At 50.4% G+C, this 19,891-nt stretch overlaps 1 protein-coding gene across 10 annotated transcripts in view, besides 2 other annotated features; it reads left to right on the forward strand.

Moving 5' to 3' along the window:
- RAP1GAP2 (RAP1 GTPase activating protein 2) overlaps positions 1 to 19,891 on the forward strand; it is a 282,097-nt gene that overhangs the window by 64,548 nt on the left and 197,658 nt on the right. The window lies entirely within an intron of this gene.
- Positions 4,813 to 4,892: an enhancer, noted in NCBI's record as "active region_11500". NCBI's record gives its function as "activates an Ori minimal core promoter by ATAC-STARR-seq in GM12878 lymphoblastoid cells {active_cell/tissue: GM12878}" and the evidence as "EXISTENCE:reporter gene assay evidence [ECO:0000049][PMID:35858748]".
- Positions 12,425 to 12,925: an enhancer, noted in NCBI's record as "H3K4me1 hESC enhancer chr17:2735911-2736411 (GRCh37/hg19 assembly coordinates)". NCBI's record gives its function as "activates a minimal SCP1, AML or CMV promoter by ChIP-STARR-seq in primed H9 embryonic stem cells {active_cell/tissue: H9 hESC(primed)}" and the evidence as "EXISTENCE:reporter gene assay evidence [ECO:0000049][PMID:30033119]".

Here is a 19,891-nt window from a genome sequence, read left to right on the forward strand (position 1 = left end):
ATATTGCAAGCAATGCTGCAGGCAGTGGCTTTCCCCTTGCCTGGCCCTCTGTGCGTTTGTGTGAGGTCATGAGGGGTACCTAGAGGTGGGGCTGTTGGGTCGCAGCTCTACTGGATGCTGCCAGATTGCCCTCAAGAGAGGACTTAGGCTGGGCGCGGTGGCTCACGCCTGTAATCACAGCACTTTGGCAGGCCAAGGTGGGCGGATCACTTGAGGTCAGGAGCTCGAGACCAGCCTGGCCAACATGGCAAAACCCCGTCTCTACTAAAAACACAAAAATTAGCCAGGTGTGGTGGCGGGTGCCTGTAATCCAGCTACTAGGGTGGCTGAGGCAGGAGAATCACTTGAAGACGGGAGGCAGAGGCTGCAGTGAGCTGAGATCTCATCACTGCACTCCAGCCTGGGCAGCAATGAGAGACACCGTCTCAAAAAAAAAAAAAAAAAGAGGACTTAGTATTTTCACTGCTCCCAATTCTATGATTCCCATTCCCCACGTCCTCACTGATGTTTGATTTTCATGTTGATTTGAGTGACAGAAGCATATTTTATTTTATTTTATTTTGAGACGGAGTCTCACTCTGTATAGTGGCATGATCTCGGCTCACTAAAATCTCCGCCTCCCGGGTTCAAGCAATTCTCCTGCCTCAGCCTCCCAAGTAGCTGGGACTACAGGTGCCCGCCACCACGGCCCGGATAATGGTTTTTTTTTTTTTTTTTGTATTTTTAGTAGAGATAGGTTTCATTATGTTGGCCAGGCTGCTCTCGAACTGCTGACCTGTTGATCTGCCTGCCTCGGCCTCCCAAAGTGCTGGGATTACAGGCATGAGCCACCGCGTCCTGCCTATTATTTTATTCTTTATTATACAAACATGAACAGATCTCTGAATAAGCGCTTGGAAACCCTCATGGCTCCACTGTCAGATCGCTGTGTCTGAGCCTCCCTCGAGTCCCTCTCCACAGGCCCAGGGATGCGCTTCTCTTCACCCTTTTTCTGTGTCACAAGCATTTCCATATATTGCTACATTCTTTTTTCCCCTCTTTAAAAATAGCACTTTTCCTGATTATAAAAATAGTACATGCTCACTGTAGAACATTTAGAGAATATGTACAAATAGAGATTAAAAAATAAAAATATGACCCATCACCCAAAATGTTATCATTCTGATGTATTTCTTTACACCTTTTTTTTTTTTTTTTTTTTGAGACGGAGTCTCGCTCTGTCGCCCAGGCTGGAGTGCAGTGGCACGCTTACAGTTCACTGCAACCTCCACCTCCTAGGCTCAAGCGATCCTCCCACCTTAGCCTCCGGAGTAGCTGGGACCACAGCATCTGCCACCATGCCTGGCTAATTTTTTTTTTTTTGTAGAGATGAAGTTTTGCCATGTTGCCCAGGCTGGTTTTGAACTCCTGGTCTCAAGCAATCCATCCGCCTTGGCCTCCCAAAGTGCTGGGATTACAGGTGTGAGCCACCTTGCCCCGCCAAGTGTGGTGTTTTAAATTTAAGTGAATTAAGTACAATTAAAAATGCAGCTCCTCGGTTGCACTAGCCACATCTCAAGGGCTCAGTAGCCACATGTGGCTGGTGGCTACCATAGGGAACAACGCAGGTACAGAACATTACAGAACATTTTCATCATCCCAGAAAGTTCTACTGTACAGCGCTGGTTGAGAATGAGGTCCAGACTCCCCTGGAGGACTTCCAAGGGCTGGACAAGCCCAGAGAGTCTATGCTGTCTATGATGGATTACGCACTGCAGAAACGTCCCTGGACCCCCAGGCCAGAAGGCATCTGAACCGCATAAAGCCAGTGCCACCGGGTGGTGCTGAGGAGGAGGAGGCGGCAAGCTGGTGTCTGGGGCAGTGAGGATTTCAGATGCAGCTCCTGCCTCCTTGGGCAGACAGAACTGTCACCTCCAGGGTTGCCCAATCCCATGGTCAGCACCCAGTTCAAGCATAATATGTCGTGGGTCCTGGTGTCTCTTGCATTCACGCACACACACACACAGGTATGTACCATTGAGACATGACCACGCAGGGTCACCCAGGTTCACACATACAGCCTCATTCATGCTCAGAAACAGTTCCCCAAAAGGCACAAACACGGTCTTTGCCGATTGCCATTATAACAGCAACAAAAATAGCTGTTAGGCTGGGCGCCGTGGTTCACGCCTGTAATCATAGCACTTTGGGAGGCTGAGGCCAGAGGATCACTTGAGCCCAGGAGTTTAACACTAGCCTGGGCAACATGGTGAAACCTCGTTGCCAAAGAAAATTAAAAAACAATTAGCCAGGTGTTGTGTGGTATGTGCCTGTAGTCTCAGCTACTTGGGAGTCAGGTGGGAGGATTGCTTGAGCCCAGGAGTGGGAAGCTGCAGTGAGCTATGATCACACCACCGTACTCCGCCTGGAGGACAATAAAACCCTGTTTTTTTTTGTTTTTTTTTTTTTTTTTTTTTTTAAGAAAAGGTGGCTCACGCCTATAATCCCAGCACTTTTTTTTTTTCCTTTGGGGAAATTTTTTTTTTAATTATACTTTAAGTTTTAGCGTACATGTGCACAACGTGCAGGTTTGTTACATATGTATACATGTGCCATGTTGGTGTGCTGCACCCATTAACTCTTCATTTAACATTAGGTATATCTCCTAATGCTATCCCTCCCCACTCCCCCCAGTCCCAGCACTTTGAGCGGCTGAGGCAGCTGTGAGGTCAGGAGTTCTAGACCAGCCTGACCAACATGGTGAAACCCTGTCTCTACTAAAAATACAAAAAGTAGCCGGGTGTGGTGGTGCGCATCTGTAATTTCAGTTACTCAGGGAGTGCTGCTTCCTTGGGGTGAGGCACAGCCCTGTGGCGAGTCTCTTGGTAAAGTGAAAAATGCTGTAAATGGGTGGCTGAGATGGGTGCAGAGGATTGGGGTGTCATGGGGATGGCGGGTGGCATGGGGCTGGCTTCCGGATACCTCATCCCTGACATTTTCTCTGTTGACATTGGAACCCAGGATGTCCAGATGCTGTTTTTGAAGCCCTATCGGCCAGGGAGTCAATGGGCCCCCACTTTGCCTGGGAGGGCTGTGTCCTGGTGTCCTGTGGGGTTTTGGTCTCCCACCCCGGGGCCTAAGGGCCTCAGAATGAACTGGAACCCAACCTTTGTCAGGGGAGCCCCAGCAATGTCTGCACGACATACGCCCCCAAACAGCGTGGGTTCAGGAATTTGTAAGTGTTTGAGAAAGAAAAACTGTTAGGATTCTAGTTTCGTTGAAAAGCCATTTTGCCTTTGTCTTCCTCTGGGCACCTGACCATCCATTCTTAGCCCACCTGAGTATTGAGCATACACTATCGTCTCTGCAGTGGAGGTGGTCCTGGACGCATGGCGTAACGTGGGCTCTCTGGGCCCTCCAGAAAAGTGTGCCACTCGCTCCTCTCCGGCTGGGCCGTCAGAACCCACAGCTCACACACACATCCAGTCAAGGTCAGAAGAGGTGGCTGCATTCCTGACTCAAGGTCAAAAGAGGCAACTACATAATCAGTGAGTGGCCCTGAGGGGCCAGTAAGCAATAAGGCAGCGGGAAAGGGTGCAGAGCAATTGTGGAGCAATTACTAAGCAAGCAGAATGGGAAGCAACACGACTGAACAAGAAACAGCACATGGGGCCGGGCACGGCGGCTCACACCTGTCATCCCAGCACTTTGGGAGGCCGAGGCGGGCGGATCACGAGGTCAGGAGATCGAGACCATCCTGGCCAACATGGTGAAACCCCATCTCTACTAAAAATATAAAAAATTAGCTGGGCGTGGTGGCGGGCGCCTGTAGTCCCAGCTACTCGGGAGGCTGAGGCAGGAGAATGGCGTGAACCCGGGAGGCAGAGCTTGCAGTGAGCTGAGATTGTGCCACTGCACTCCAGCCTGGGTGACAGAGCAAGACTGTCTCAAAAAAAAAAAAAAAAGAAAGAAAGAAAAAAAGAAACAGCACATGGGCCAGGTGTGGTGGCTCACACCTGTCATCCCAGCAGTTTGGGAGGCCGAGGCAGATGGATCACTTGAGATTAGGAGTTCGAGACCAGCCTGGCCAACATGGTGAAACCCTGTCTCTACTAAAGTACAAAAATTAGCTGGGCATGGTGGCACACGCCTGTAATCTCAGCTACTTGGGAGGTTGAGGCAGGAGAATCACTTGAACCCGGGAGGCGGAGGTTTCAGTGAACCGAGATTGTGCCACTGTACTCCAGCCTGGGTGACAGAGCTAGACTCCATCTCAAAAAAAAAAAAAAGTCCGGGCATGGTGGCTCACGCCTGTAATCCCAGCATTTTGGGAGGCCGAGGCGGGCAGATCACCTGAGGTCAGGAGTTCGAGACCAGCCTCAACGTGGAGAAACCCTGTCTCTACTAAAAATACAAAAATTAGCCGGGCATGGTGGTGCATGCCTGTAATCCTAGCTACTCGGGAGGCTGAGGCAGGAGAATTGCTTGAACCTGGGAGGCGGAGGTTGCAGTGAGCCGAGATTGCGCCATTGCACTCCAGCCTGGGTGACAAAAGCGAAACTCTGTCTCAAAAAAAAAAAAAAAAAAAAAAAGAAATAGCATATGGGTCACAAATTCTGTTGACTAAGTAGAAGCAGAGGCTTGGCCAGAGAGGAGGAGGAGGCGGCGGCTGGAGATGCCTGTGGTGGTTCGAAAGGAAGCACCTGGACTGTTTGAGGGAAGCCTCTGTACAATGTCCAATTTTACCCCAAAACGTATCATGCTGCCTCCCTGCACCACTTCCTCTTTTAGGAGACAAGGTGTTGCTCTGTCCCCCAGGCTGGAGTGCAGTGGCATAATTGTGGCTCACTGCAGCCTTGAACTCATGGCACAAGCAATCTTCCTGCGTAGCTGGGATGACAGGCATGTGCCACCACACCTGGCTAATTTTTAAAATGTTTCTTATAGAGATGGGGTCTTGCTATGCTGTCCAGGCTGGTCTTGAACTCCTGGCCTCAAGTGATCCTCCCACCTTGGCCTCCTAAATTGCTGGTATTATGGGTGTGAGCCACCACACCTAGTCCCATCTTCCCTTTCAAACACAGGCCTAGCAGCAGCATCTCTCCAGCCTGTCTCCGCAGGGTTGTTTTTGGCTCATGATTTGGGCAAGAGGAGGGAGAAGGGAAGAGAAGAAACTTTGCTGTTGGAACTGGGTCAGAATTGGAATACAGGAAGCAAGAACATGAGTGTTCACGCTTTGACTGAGCTGTTGACAGCACCGAGGCCAGAGGCAGGAGAAATGAAGCTGTTTGTTTATCTGATGAATATTCATCGAGCTCCTATTTGTAGCCAGCCGCCTCTGTTTTAGGAGCCGGGGATCCCTTTGTTGAATCCTGGCTCTGCCACTCACTGCTGGGGTTACCTTGGGCAACCGTCTGAACCTCTCTGAGCTTGTTTTCCCATCCGGAAAGTGAAGATAAGGAGCGTCCCTGTCTCACAGGGATGTTTGAGGATGAAATGAGCTAACATAGGAAAAGCACTTAGCATGGTGCTTGGCGCAGAGTTAGTGCTCGTGACTGCAGCTGTTACTGAAGACAGAGCGTTTAGGTGTGAAGAGGGTCTGGTGCCCGCATCCAAGGAACTCACAGTCTCTGGAGGAAACAGACATTTAACAGTCATCTGCAAAGCATGAGGCAGTGCCAATAGAGATATTCTTCCTGGTGGAATGAGGGAAGGCTTCTTGAAGGAGGCGGCGCTGGAAGGTTGAAAAGGAATCCCTAGGAAGAGAAGGTTGCAGGGGGCATTTTTTTTCTTTTTTCTTTCTTTCTTTCTGTTTTTTTTTTTTTTTGAGACGGAGTCTTGCTCTGTCGCCCCGGCTGGAGTGCAGTGGTGCCATCTCGGCTCACTGCAACTTCCTCCTCCCAGGTTCAAGCGATTCTGCTGCCTCAGCTTCCCGAGTAGCTGGGATTACAGGCACCCACCACCACGCCCAGCAAATTTTTTTTTTTTTTTTTTTTTGTATTTTTAGTAGACACAGGGTTTCACCGTGTTAGCCAGGATGGTCTCAATCTCCTAACCTCGTGATCTCCCCGCCTCGGCCTCCCCAAGTGCTGGGATTACAGGCGTGAGCCACCATGCCTGGCCTGCAGGGGGCATTTCACACTGAGGAAACAGTAAGGGCAAAGGCTGCGGGTGGGTGGGGAAGTGTGTAGAGCTGTTTGAGAAGCGGTGAGCCAGGCTCTCGAAATGGATGGAGGGACATGGCAGGAAACAGCCAGAGGCGAGGGTGGGGATCCGCTCGGGGAGGCTCTGAGTGTGTTGCCGGCGAGATGACGGGTGCCCTGGAAGAGCGGGATGGGGGAACCGCCTGTCTCCTTGGTGACTTGGGAAGGCGGCCTTGGGAGCTTTGGGGATGGATTGCGGAAGGGAGGAGATGCTTGCTGTGCTCCTGAGGAGGGGTGGGGCCTGAATGTCCTCTTGGCTGGGGTTGGAGGGGAGGGCCAGGCTAGGGTCCTAAGAAGGTGAATCCTGAGCCCAGGCATCTAGCCCACGTGCAGCATGAAAGGAGGATTTCCGGCCGGGCGCGGTGGCTCACGCCTGTAATCCCAACACTTTGGGAGGCTGAGGCGGGCGGATCACGAGGTCAAGAGATCGAGACCATCCTGGCCAACATGGCGAAACCCCGTCTCTACTAAAAATATAAAAATTAGCTGGGCGTGGTGGCGTACGCCTGTAGTCCCAGCTACTTGGGAGGCTGAGACAAGAGAATCGCTTGAACCTGGGAATGGGAGGTTGCAGTGAGCCGAGATGACACCACTGCACTTCAGCCTGGTGTCACAGCGAGACTCCGTTTCGAGAGAGAGAGAGGAGAGAAAGAAAGAAAGAGAGAGAGAAAGAAAGAAAGAGAAAGTCCCATGGAAATGGGGGTTTCACATTTGGGGGATTTGCAAAGTAGTCACGTGGGTGAGGCAGGAGGGAAGCCTAGTAGCAGAGAAGATGATGCCTTCGGCCTTGAGTGTGGTGCGTTTGAGGAGCTTGTGGATCGTCCCAGGGGTGTGTGTGGTTGGGCTCTTTAGCTCAGGAGAGCTCAGCTGAGTGGATACCCACTCGCACATCCAACAGCTCTCATTCCCAAAGCGTGTTCTGAGTGTGAGTCCTACAAAAGTGGACAATTCAGACCCTGTTGGGTTTTGTGGCACTTTCTAGTCAGGGAGGCAGATGAGAACAGAATGAAGAACGCAGATGGTTTCAGACAGTGCCCAGTCCTGCGAAGGAAATAGAACAGTGAGGCGATGAGGGTGGGGCTCGGGGCTGGGGGAAGGGGCTACCCTGGGTGGGTGGTCAGGAAGAGCCTCTCCATAGAAGGGACATTTGAGGCCTGGCGCGGTGGCTCATGCCTGTAATCCCAGCACTTTGGGAGGCCAAGGCGGGTGGATCACCTGAGGTCAGGGGTTCAAGACCAGCCTGGATAACATGGTGAAACCCCCTCTCTACTAAAAATACAAAAATTAGCCGGGCGTGGTGGTACCTGCCTGTAATCCCCAAGCTCTTCTCCCAGCCCACCCGGCACCAGCCAGTTTGAGCTCTGACTGGGAACTGGGATCTCATTCATCCCATCTGGTCAGCATCTCTTTGGTTGCTTTTTATCAGCTTCCTATTAGAAAAAAAAAAAATCCCCTTGAAAAACAAGGGGGAGGGTTCATACACGATCGGTTGCAGCAGGCACGCCAGTGACGGTGGGGGCCCAGGGGGAGCGTGGCAGAGGCTCTCAGGCTGGAGGCCAGCTACTGCTCCGGCCAGCCCTTCCCTGTGGGGGAGCCACAAGAGGCCGTCCCTGGGCCTGCAAGCATGAGATGAGCCGAGCACTTGACCAAAACTAGTTTGGGTCTTAGAATTTAACTTATCCTGGGCCGGGTGCGGTGGCTCACGCCTGTCATCCCAACACTTTGGGAGGCCAAGGCTGGCGGATCACTTGAGGTCAGGAGTTCGAGACCAGCCTGGCTAACATGGGGAAACCCTATCTCTACTAAAAATACAAAAATTAGCAGGGTGTGGTGGTGCACGCCTGTAATCCCAGCTACTCGGGAGGCTGAGTCAGGAGAATCGCTTGAACCTGGGAGGCGGAGGTTGCAGTGAGCCGAGATCGCGCCATTGCACTCCAACCTGGGCGACAGTGAGACTCCATCTCAAAAACAACAACAAACAAACAAAAATAATACTGCGATTTCCTAGCAATGCCCAGTGACTTACCCTAAATTCAGTGAAAGTTGAAAAAAAAAAAGAAGTGGCATTTGAAGGAGACCCGAAGGAAGAAAAGGAGCCAGTGTGAAGCTGTCTGGGGAAGAGCATTCCAGGTGGTGGGAACAGGCTTGGCAGGTGTGAAGATGAGGAAGGAGGCCCCTGAAGAGCCGGCGGGAAGAGCGGGTGGATGGGAACACAGTTTCCCCGTCCGCCAGCAGGTGGCACTGTTGGCCCAGGACTGCCCGGGCATGGCTGGGAGAGCAGGTGGGGCCGCGGGTTCTTTGACCTCAGGTTTGTGATTCTGGCTGTGGGCTCATCACAGGCTCTACCTCCACCCTCTGGGGAGATAAGCCCTGGCCGGGGGCAGAAGAGCAGTTGTAATGGTTTCCTGGCTGTTCTCCTTCCCCAACGGGTCTTGCTTTCAGTGTTTCTTTGCTTGCTCCCTCTCCAGAGGTGACTTCCCTCCCGGTTTCTGGGTATCTGTGTCTTTGCTCTCTCCTTTTGCTTTTCTTTTTGCTCCCTTGGTCTCTTCTCCTCCCTCTCTCATTGCTCCCTGGGGGGGCAGGTTCCTGTCTCAAAGATTAATTACTTGCTTTTTTTTTTTTTTTTTTTGGGAAACCTCGCTCTGTCGCCCAGGCTGGAGTGCAGTGGCACGATCTGGGCTCACTGCAACCTCTGCCTCCCAGGTTCAAGCGATTCTCCTGCCTCAGCCTTCTGAGTAGCTGGGATTACAGGCACCCGCCACCACGCCCGGCTAATTTTTTGTATTTTTAGTAGAGACGGGGTTTCGCCATGTTGGCCAGGCTAGTCTCAAACTCCTGACCTCAGGTGATCCACCCGCCTCAGCCTTAAAAAGTACTGGGATTACAGGCCTGAGCTACCATGCCCGGCCAATTACTTGCTTTCCTGATGTAGCTCAGATGGAGCGGGTGGTGACTTAGGATCAGGAAGGTGCTGTTTCTCATCCCATTGCCTACCCTTCCTTCCCGTGGCTTCAGATCTCCATAAAGGGCTGGGGCTGGGGTCGTGACCCCGTCGGTAGAAAATGGTCCCAGCGACCCTTCTCTCCTGGAGCCCATGGACCCACCTCCCAGTGCCATGCCCTGCTCACCTCCAGCCCCTCTAGCAGGCAGCCCTGTCTTCATGTGAGAAGGGAGAACTGGATGGCAAAGCAGATGGCACAGAACAGCTGCACAAGAGCTCACCGAAGGGCTTGTTATGAAAGAGTCATTTTTGTCAACAGAAGTACGCTTCTGCCCTATACTCCGTGCTCTGTGAATTATTTCTCAGGGGAGACTAAGCTGGCCAGAGCCTGGTGGTGGCCTCCTGGCTGTCGGATGTCAGAGTTAGGGCTGCAGGTTGAGGGGTCCTTGGCTTTGGTCTGTGAGTACCATGGTGGTTAAGAGCCTGGTCTCTCTCTCTTAAATTTTTTTTTTTTTTTTTTGAGATGAGATTTTGCTATGTTGCCCAGGCTAGTCTTGAATTCCTGGCTTCAAGAGATCCTTCTGCCTCAGTCTCTCGAGAGGCTGGGATTACAGTTGTGAGCCACCGTACCTGGCAGTCTCTTTATTTTACTTTACTTTTTCCTCTAAAGTTAAAGTTTACAGTATTTTATTTTGTTGTGGTGAGAACACATAACATGAACTCTACCCTCTTAACAGACTTTTAAGTGTACAATACATTATTGTTGAATGTAAGTAAGAGTTTACTCTCTTAAAGCCTCCCACTGGGTGGGAAGTCTAGCACCTTACAACAGGACCCTGTAATCCCAGCACTTTGGGAGGCCGAGGTGGGCGGATCACTTGAGGTCAGGAGTTCAAGACCAGCCTGGCCAACATGGTGAAACCCTGTCTGTACTAAAAACACAAAAAAATTAGCTGGGTGTGGTGGTGCATGCCTGTAATTCGAGCTACTCGGGAGGCTGAGGGAGGAGAATAGCTTGAACCCATGAGGCGGAGGTTGCAGTGAGCCGAGGAGATCGTGCCATTGCACTCCAGTCTGGGCGACAGAGGAAAACTCCGTCTCAAAAAATTAAAAAAGATGGCCGGGTGTGGTGGCTCACGCCTGTAATCCCAGCACTTTGGGAGGCCGAGGCGGGCAGATCACGATGTCAAGAGATCGAGACCATCCTGGCTAACATGGTGAAACCCCGTCTCTACTAAAAATACAAAAATTAGCTGGGCGTGGTGGCGGGCGCCTGTAGTCCCAGCTACTCAGGAAGCTGAGGCAGGAGAATCGCTTGAACCTGGGAGGCGGAAGTTGCAGTGAGCCGAGATCACACCACTGCACTCCAGCCTGGGCGACAGAATGAGACTCTGTCTCAAAACAAAACAAAACAAAACAAAAACTAAAAAAAAGATTTTGAACAGTAAATGTATTTACATGGTTGGTTCTAAAACCAAAATGATATAAAAATATATGTGGTAGAAAGATTTGCTTGTACTCCAATCCGCCCTGTCCCTACATTCTAAAATTCACTTTGAGGTTCTTTCCAGTGCTTCTTTATTCACATGTAAGATGAGCATATCCTTTTCTTACCTCCACTCCCCTTCCCTCCCTTCCCCTCCCCTCCCCTTCCCTCCCTTCCCCTACCCTTCCCTCCACTTCCCTCCCCTCCCCTCCTCTCCCCTCCCTTTCCTTCCCCTCCCTCCCCTGCCCTTCCTTCCTCTCCCCTTCCCTCTTTCTTTTTCTTTCTTTCTTTTTTTGAGATGGAGTCTTGCTCTGTTGCCAGGCTGGAGTGCAGTGGTGTGATCTCGGCTCACTGCAACCTCTGCCTCCCGGGTTCAAGGATTCTCCTGCCTTAGCCTCCCGAGTAGTTGGGACTACAGGCACCTGCCACCACGCCCAGCTACTTTTTGTATTTTTAGTAGAGATGGGATTTCACTACATTGGCCAGGCTGGTCTTGAACTCCTGACCTCAGGTGATCTGCCTGCTCCAGCCTCCCAAAATGCTGGGATTACAGGTGTGAGCCACCATGCCCAGCCTCCTATTTCTTTTTCTTAAATAAAAGGTAATATCCTACAAAACACTGTTTTACATCTTGCCTTTTTCTCTGGAGAATTCCTGTCTGACCACTGAGAGCTGCTGCTGCCTCTGCCCCATTCCTTTTAAAAATAACTGTGTAGTATTTAACGGTGTGGATTTAATTTTAGAGACTGATGATTCCTTTCAGAAATTTAATTTTGTATAACGTAAGTAATATAAGAATACATTTTTGGCTGTGCATGGTGGCTCATGCCTGTAATCCCAGGACCGTAGGAGGCCAACGTGTGTGGATTGCTTGAGCCCAGGAGTTTGAGACCAGCCTGGTGGGGGGGCAGCATGACAAAACCTCATCTCTACTAAAAATAAAAAAAATTAGATGTGGTGGTGCACACCTGTAATCCCAGGTACTGGGGAGGCTGAGGTTGGAGGATCCCTTGAGCCCAGGAGTTTGAGGCTGCCATGAGCTGTGATCATGCCATTGCAATCCAGGCTGGGTGACAGAGTGAGACCCTGTCTCAAAAAACAACAACAACAACACAAAAAACAGGCTGGGCGTGGTGGCTCACGCTTTTAATCCCAGCACTTTGGGAGGCTGAGGCGGGCGGATCACGAGGTTAGGAGTTCGAGACCAGCCTGCCCAATATGGCGAAACCCTGTCTCTACTAAAAATACAAAAATTAGATGGGCTTGGTGGTGGGTGCCTGTAATCCCAGCTACTCGGGAGGCTGAGGCAGGAGAATCACTTGAACCTGGGAGGTGGAGTTTGCAATGAGCTGAGATCACGCCATTGCATTCCAGTCTGGGTGACAGAGTGAGACTCTGTCTCCAAAAAAAAAAAGAAAACAAAAAAACCCAAATCATTTTCCTTAAAACAATCAGAACATTAAAGATAAAGTCTCGGCCGGGCGCGGTGGCTCATGCCTGTAATCCCAGCACTTTGGGAGGCCAAGGTGGGTGGATCACGAGGTCAGGAGATCGAGATCATCCTGGCTAAAACGGTGAAACCCCATCTCTACTAAAAATACAAAAAATTACCCAGGTGTTGTGGCGGGCACCTGTAGTCCCAGCTACTCGGGAGGCTGAGGCAGGAGAATGGCGTGAACCCAGGAGGTGGAGGTTGCAGTGAGCCGAGATCGCGCCACTGCACTCCAGCCTGGGCGACAGAGCGAGACTCCATCTCAAAAAAAAAAAAAAAAAAAAGATAAAGTCTCCTATGGCCAGCAGTGACATTCCCTTTCTCTCCTCCCCAGAGTAGCCACTGTTCAGAGTTTGGTACATACTTTTCTAGATATTTAAACAGGGCTGGGTGCAGTGGCTGGCCAGGTGCATTGACTCACTCCTGTAATCCCAGCACTTTGGGAGGCCGAGGCGGGCGATGGCTCGAGGTCAGGAATTCGAGTCCAGCCTGGCCAACATGGTGAAACCCCATCTCTACTAAAAATACAAAAAGTAGCTGGGCGTGGTGGCACTTGCGTGTAGTCCCAGCTACTCGGTGGGGGGCTGAGGCAGGAGACTTGCTGGAACTTGGGAGGCAGAGGTTGCAATGAGCGAGATCGCACCACTGCACTCCAGCCCGGGTCACAGAGCAAGACTGTCTCAAAAAAACGAAAACAAAAACAAACCAGTATTTTTACATGTACCTTAAGTAACCATCAATGTCCATACATACACAGTTAGCTCATTCCTTCTAATCACAGTTTAGGGTCCAGCTTACAAATATACCACACCCTGCTTATCTGTTTCTCCTGTAAATGGTTGTTCTTGATAATTTTTTTTTTTTTTTTAGATGGAGTCTTGCTCTGTCTCCCAGGCTGGAGTGCAGTGGTGCAATCTCGGTTCACTGCAACCTCTGCCTCCTGGGTTCAAGCGATTCTCCTGCCTCAGCCTCCCGGGTAGCTGGGATTACAGGCACACACCACCATGCCTGATTTTTGTATTTAGTAGAGATGAGGTTTCACCATGTTGGCCAGGCTGGTCTTGAACTCCTGACCTCAGGTGATCCACCCGCCTCAGCCTCCCAAAGTGTTGGGATTACAGGGGTGAGCCACCGCGCCTGGCCTGTTCTTGGTATGTTTTTACTCTTATGAAAAGTGCCGAGGTCAGGAGATCGAGACCATCTTGGCTAACACGGTGAAACCCCGTTTCTACTAAAAATACAAAAAATGAGCCGGGTGTGTTGGCGGGCGCCTGTAGTCCCAGCTACTTGGGAGGCTGAGGCAGGAGAATGGCATGAACCTGGGAGGCGGAGCTTGCAGTGAGCCGAGATCTCGCCACTGCACTCCAACCTGGGAGACACAGCGAGACTCCGTCTCAAAAAAAAAAAAAAAAAAAAAAGAAAAGTGCCACAGTGGACATCCTCATAGTTGACTGTCTACACATGAAAGTGTTTCTCTAGACTTGAGTGAATCCTAGATGTGAGATTGCTGGGTGATAGGGTAGGTGACTTTCTATTTCATCATACTGCAAATTGCCTGCCAATTTCTATGCCACTAGTAGGAGTGTACATGTTGCTTGTCTGTTGGGTGAAGCATCCTGTCTCCTTGCTGTGGTTGCATTCCCTGATTTCCAGCCCTCTGAGCAGCTCTGGCTGTGTCCTGCGTGCTGTACCCTCCGCCCAGAGAAGCACTGTCCTCCGTAAGTCAGGTGGACTCTCGGCCTCTGAAGTTCCTGCACCCGCCTGGTGTCTTTGCAGCATGGTCTTTTGCTGAGAATAACCTCGACCTTCTCCTTTTCAAAAGCCCTCCAGAGGGCTTTACTGACCAGAGAGGTGGCTAGAGAGTTGGCTGTGGGATTGACCACACTGACTTCCCCAGACCCATCTTAAGAGGCTGGCTTTAGATTTTCATCCTATCCCAGTTCTTAAGATGTAAGTTCTGCCCTGAGGGCCCCTGGGGGAAGCCACAGCTTAAAGCTCAAATGCATTTCCCTTGCTGAAGGAGCTGAGCCAGCCAATTCCCCTTGTGCTAGTTCAGGGGTTTTGTCTGCCAATCTCAAACCCAGGAACAAGTTCTAAGAACTGGGTCCCTTGAGAGACCTAGAGTCTGGCAGTTGGGTGGGAAGAGGATTGACCTTGGAGACAGTTTCTGTCACCTACACCCACCTCCTGAGAAATAACTTCAAGAGAGGAAGGACCATCTTGGTCGAGGTGGTATCTCACACCTGTAATCCCAGCACTTTGGGAAGCTGGGGTGGGCAGATGGCTCGAGCCCAGGAGTTTAAGACCAGCTTGGGCAACGTGGCAAAACCCCATCTCTACAAAAAATACAAAAATTAGCTGGGCATGGTGGCAGGTGCTTGTAGTCTCAGCTACTCAGGAGGCTGAAGTGGGAGGACTGCTTGAGCCCACGAGGTTGAGGCTGTAGGGAGCTGTGATCTCATCACTGTACTCCAGCCTGGGTGACAGAGTGAGACCCTGTCTCAAAAAAAAGAAAGGACCATCTCATCTGGTCCTCTGCCTCAGTTCCTACCCCATTTACTATACCACTGAATCCTTCACCATCCACCTGACCTTTATTTAAATTAAAATAAATTAAATTAATTAATTATTATTATTATTTTTTGAGATGGAGTCTCGCTCTGTTGCCTAGGCTGGAGTGCAGTGGCGTGATCTCTCCTCACTGCACACTCCACCTCCCAGGTTCATGCCATTCTCCTGCCTCAGCCTCCCAAGTAGCTGGGACTACAGGCGCCCGCCACCACACCTGGCTAATTTTTTTTTGTATTTTTAGTAGAGACAGGGATTCACCGTGTTAGCCAGGATGGTCTCGATCTCCTGACCTTGTGATCCACCTGCCTTGGCCTCCCAAAGTGCTGAAATTACAGGCATGAGCCACTGCACTCTGCCATTAATTAATTTTTCTGAGATGGAGTCTCGCTCTGTCACCCAGGCTGGAGTGCATTGGCACGATCTTGGCTCACTGCAAACTCCACCTCACGGGTTCAAGCGATTCTCCTGCCTCAGCCTCCTGAGTAGCTGGGATTACAGGTGTGCGCCACCACACCCTGTTAATTTTTTGTATTTTTAGTAGAGATGGGGTTTCACCATGTTGGCCAGGATGGTCTCGAACTCCTGACCTCAGGTGATCCGCCTGCCTCAGCCTCCCACAGTGCTGGAATTACAGGCGTGAGCCACCACAAACTTGTTGTTAATGGTCACTCATTGTCCGTGGTTGTCACATCTCTTTTGTCTCTTTAAATACAGAACAGAGCTGGGTGTGGTGAACTGTACTTCCAGCTATTCAGGAGGCTGAGGTGGGAGGATCATTGGAGCCCAGGAGTTTGAGGCTGCAGTGAGCTATGATCGCACCACTGCATTCCAGCCTGGGTGCATTCCAGAGTGTGACCCTGTCTATAAATAAATATAGAACAGCAGACCTGGCAAAGTTGTTTAGTAGAACGTCTCACATTTTGGATTTATCTGAATGCTTCCTTTTTTTATTCCCCAACATTTTCCTGGAATAGTCCTTGATTTTACGGAAGAAAGATGAAATGAGTAGCTTGTGTGCTGACAGTGAAGAGGAAGGGAGACACTCCTGTTTTATCTGCTGGGGCCAGATTTGTGCCAGCCCTGCCTTTTCCTTGGGTGTGGTTGAGAGGACTGTGCGCAGACCGCCCCCAGCCAGCCACTGGCGGGGTGTGTTGGTGCATCTGGCACTGGCGGGGTGTGTTGGTGCATCTGGGTGTTAGGAGGTAGGTCCAGGGGCTTCTCCTGGGAAGTTGTCCCCATGTCGCCTTCGGGGGGTGCTCCCTGTGGGAGAATGAGTGGTGTGGTCGTCCCCCTTGCCTGAAGCTGTTATTTTGTTCCCTCCTGTGTTTCCTTGCCGGTTGGGTAGAGGTCTACTATGTTCACTAACTAGGTTACTAGTGACAGAAACCTTACTCAAACTGGCTTAAGAAAAAAAAAAAGAAACCAAAAGGAAAAACAAAGTCCATGAAAACTTTTGTAATTGGTAAGTTTAAGGAACCTGGCTTTGGCCGGGTGCAGTGGCTCACACCTGTAATCTCAGGACTTGGGGAGGCCAAGGCAGGCGGATCACCTGAGGTCAGGAGTTCAAGATCATCCTGACCAACATGGTGAGACCCCATCTCTCTTAAAAACACAAAAATCAGCTGGGCATGGTGGCGGGCAACTGCAATCCCAGCTCCTCAAAAGGCTGAGGTACGAGAATCGCTTGGACCTGGGAGGCGGAGGTTGCAGTGAGCTGAGATCACGTCACTGCACTCCAGCCTGGGTGATACAGCGAGACTCAGTCTCAAAAACAAAACAAAACAAAACAACAAGCAAACAAAAAACTGGCTTCAGGTCCAGCTAGATCCAGGTGGGTGAGACAGCATCATCGGACCATCTATTTGTACCTATCTCTTGGCTCTAATTCCTGCATTTATTTCATTCACAGGCACCTCTCCCCACATGTTATAAGGCAGCCACTGGCAGCTCTAGTGTGAGCTTTGAAAATCTCAGTAGGTATGATTAAGCTGCTTCCTTCTATAGCACCTGTAAAAATTTGGTGTTCACTCTGTTTGGACTGACGAGGTGTGTGCCCATTCCTGAAGCAATCGTAGTGGATTGGTGAATAGAGTACATGAATTGAGGCCAGTAACGGTGGCTCACACCTGTCATCCCAGCACTTTGGGATGCCAAGACAGGAGGATCACTTGAGGCCAGGAGTTCAAGACCAGTGTGGGCAACAAGGTGAGACCCTGTCACTACAAAAAATTAAAAAATTAACTAAGCATGGTGGTGCACACCTGTAGTCCTAGACACCCAGGAGGCTGGGGCTGGAGGATTGCTTACACCCAGGAGGTTGAGGCTGCAGTAAGCTATGATTGCGCCACTGCACTCCAGCCTGGGTGACAGAGCAAGACTCTGTCTCTGGAAAAAAAAAAAAAAAAAGCATGAATTTGAATTTGAATTGGCCAAGCCTGCATCGTGTACCTACCCCAAAGCTCAGGCTGGGTAGGTTGAGAAAGGGGCAGCCCCGTATAAACCACAAAAACCAACAGTGGTGTCAGAGTGCTCCCCAGGGGAGCATCAAGGTACTGTCAGCTAGAGGAAGGGGCCTGGGCACGGAGCAGGCAGAAAGGCATATTCCGCTTCGTCTGGTGATGGGCATCGGGAGTCTCTGGCCGAGTCAGCTCCTCGTTTCCTGGGGCTCCATTCCTCTTCATTTTGGATTTGGCGGAAGTCAGTGTCCACAGGACCATCTGTGTCAGGGTGTCAGCCCTGCTTCTTTTTTTTTTTTTTTTTGAGATGGAGTCTCACTCAGTTGCCCAGGCTGGAGTGCAGTGGCGTGACCTTGGCTCACTGCAAGCTCTGCCTCCCGGGTTCACGCCATTCTTCTGCCTCAGCCTCCTGAGTAGCTGGGACTACAGGTGCCTGCCACCATGTCCGGCTATTTTTTTGTATTTTTAGCTGAGACGGGGTTTCGCCGTGTTAGCCAGGATGGTCTCGATCCCCTGACCTTGTGATCTGTCTGCCTTGGCCTCCCAAAGTGCTGGGATTACAGGGGTGAGCCACCGCACCCGGTCTCAGCCCTGCTTCTTAGTGGCTGTGTGATCCTGGACAGAAGAGTTAGCCTTTCTAGGTTTCGGTTTACTCATCTGGAAAGGAGTATGATGTTCATGTTCTTTCTTTTTTCCTTTTTTTTTTTTTTTTTTTTGAGACAGAGTCTCGCCTTATCACCCAGGCTGGAGTGCGGTGGTGCGATCTCGGCTCACTGCAACCTCCGCCTCCCAGGTTCAAGCAATTCTCCTGCCTCAGCCTCCTGAGTAACTGCGATTACAGGCGCCCACCACTGCATCCAGCTAATTTTTTGTATTTTTAGTAGAGGTGGGGTTTCACCATGTTGGTCAGGCTGGTCTTGAACTCCTGATCTTGTGATCCGCCCGCCTCGGCCTCCCAAAGTGCTGGGATTACAGGTGTGAGCCACGGCGCCCGGCCTTGTGTTCCTTCTTGATGGGGCTGACAGGATCCAGTGGAGTGGTAGGTGTGGAAGTGCAGGCAGCTGGCGACATGCTGAACCCAGGGGGTGGTGTGTGCTGCCCTGCAAGGTGATTCTTCTGCTCCAGGGTGAGCAGGGCCTGTCCTTGGACTTGCTCTTTGGAGAGTTGGGATGGTGACCTGTACTGGGATGGTGACCTGTACTGGGTTGTTGACCCCTCGGGATGTGTGGGGTGATTCTTCCACAGATGAACATAGCATGGGGCAGAACACTGTCCCACTGCGGGAACCCTTTGCTCATTCTCCGAGCTCCAGATGAGGAAGGGAGGCGGGTGGAATTGGATGAATTGGCGCAGTGATTCCGAAATTGTAACCGGGGGAGATGACATTTGGTGGTAAGAGGACGGGACACAGCATTCCCCGAAACTGATCCCCGGAGAGAAAGCTGTTTATTCCCTTTGCAGTTCTCTTTCTGTGCAGCTCATCACTTCAAGGAGAATGTCTCAGTTAGGGGCTAATATATGTCTTTAACACCTTTCTAACATTTGCTAACCTTCCTTATTAACAGAGAGAGTGGGTCTCAAGCCTCAGGCCTTGGGCAGGCGACAGTGTTTAGCAGACTGTAATAACATTATTCAATTTTCATTATATTTACCTTTTTTCTGGTAGACATTTTTTTTTAAGGTTTAAAAATTATAGAAAAGGCCAAGTGTGGTGGCTCAGGCCTGTAATCCCAGCACTTTTGGAGGCCAAGGCAGGTGGATCACTTAAGGTCAGAAGTTTGAGACCAGCCTGGCCAACATGGTGAAACCCTGTCTCTACTAAAAATACAAAAATTAGCAGGACATGGTGGCGGACGCCTGTAATCCCAGCTGCTCGGGAGGCTGAGGCAGGAGAATCACTTGAACCCAGGAGGCAGAGGTTGAGTGAACCAGTGAGCCGAGGTCACGCCACTGCACTCCAGCCTGGGCAACACAGTGAGACTCTGTCTTAATAATAAAAAAAAAAAGAATAAAAAATAAATAAAATTACAGAAAAATTAAGAGTACAGAGAGTCCCCATAGGCTCTATAATCCAGTTCCCTACAACTTACATTAGTACGATCCATTTGCTATAATTAACATTAGTGTGGTCCATTTGCTATAATTAACATTAATATGGTCCATTTGCTATAATTAATGAACCTAGACTGATGTATGATCATTAATAACTGAAATGCATGGTTTATTCAGATTTTAGAGTTTTTCCCTAATGTCCTTTTCTGTTCCAGGAACCACATTACATTTAGTTTTCACAGCTCCTTAGACTCCTCTTGGCTGTGACTGTTTCTCAGACTTTGCTTGTTTTTGGCAGCCCTGACAGCTTTGAGGCGTGCTTGTCACTCAATTTAGATTTGTCTCATATTTTTCTCATGATTAGACTGGGTATTGGTTTTTGAGAGGATGACTACCCAGGTATAGACCAGGTATAGAACCATTTTTCTTTTTTTAATTTTTTTTGAGACGGAGTTTTGCTCTTGTTGCCCAGGCTGGAGTGCAATGCGTGATCTCGGCTCACTGCAACCTCCGCCTCCTGGGTTCAAGTGATTCTCCTGCCTCAGCCTCCGGAGTAGCTGGGATTACAGGCATGCGCCACCACGCCCAGCTATTTTTGTATTTTTAGTAGAAACGGGGTTTCACCATGTTGGTCAGGCTGGTCTCAAACTCCCAACCTCAGGTTCGCACCCGGCAGAACCATTTTCGTCACATCCTGATAACCACTGTTGA

Source organism: Homo sapiens, chromosome 17, assembly GCF_000001405.40.
Source record: "Homo sapiens chromosome 17, GRCh38.p14 Primary Assembly".
Taxonomy (NCBI): domain Eukaryota; kingdom Metazoa; phylum Chordata; class Mammalia; order Primates; family Hominidae; genus Homo; species Homo sapiens.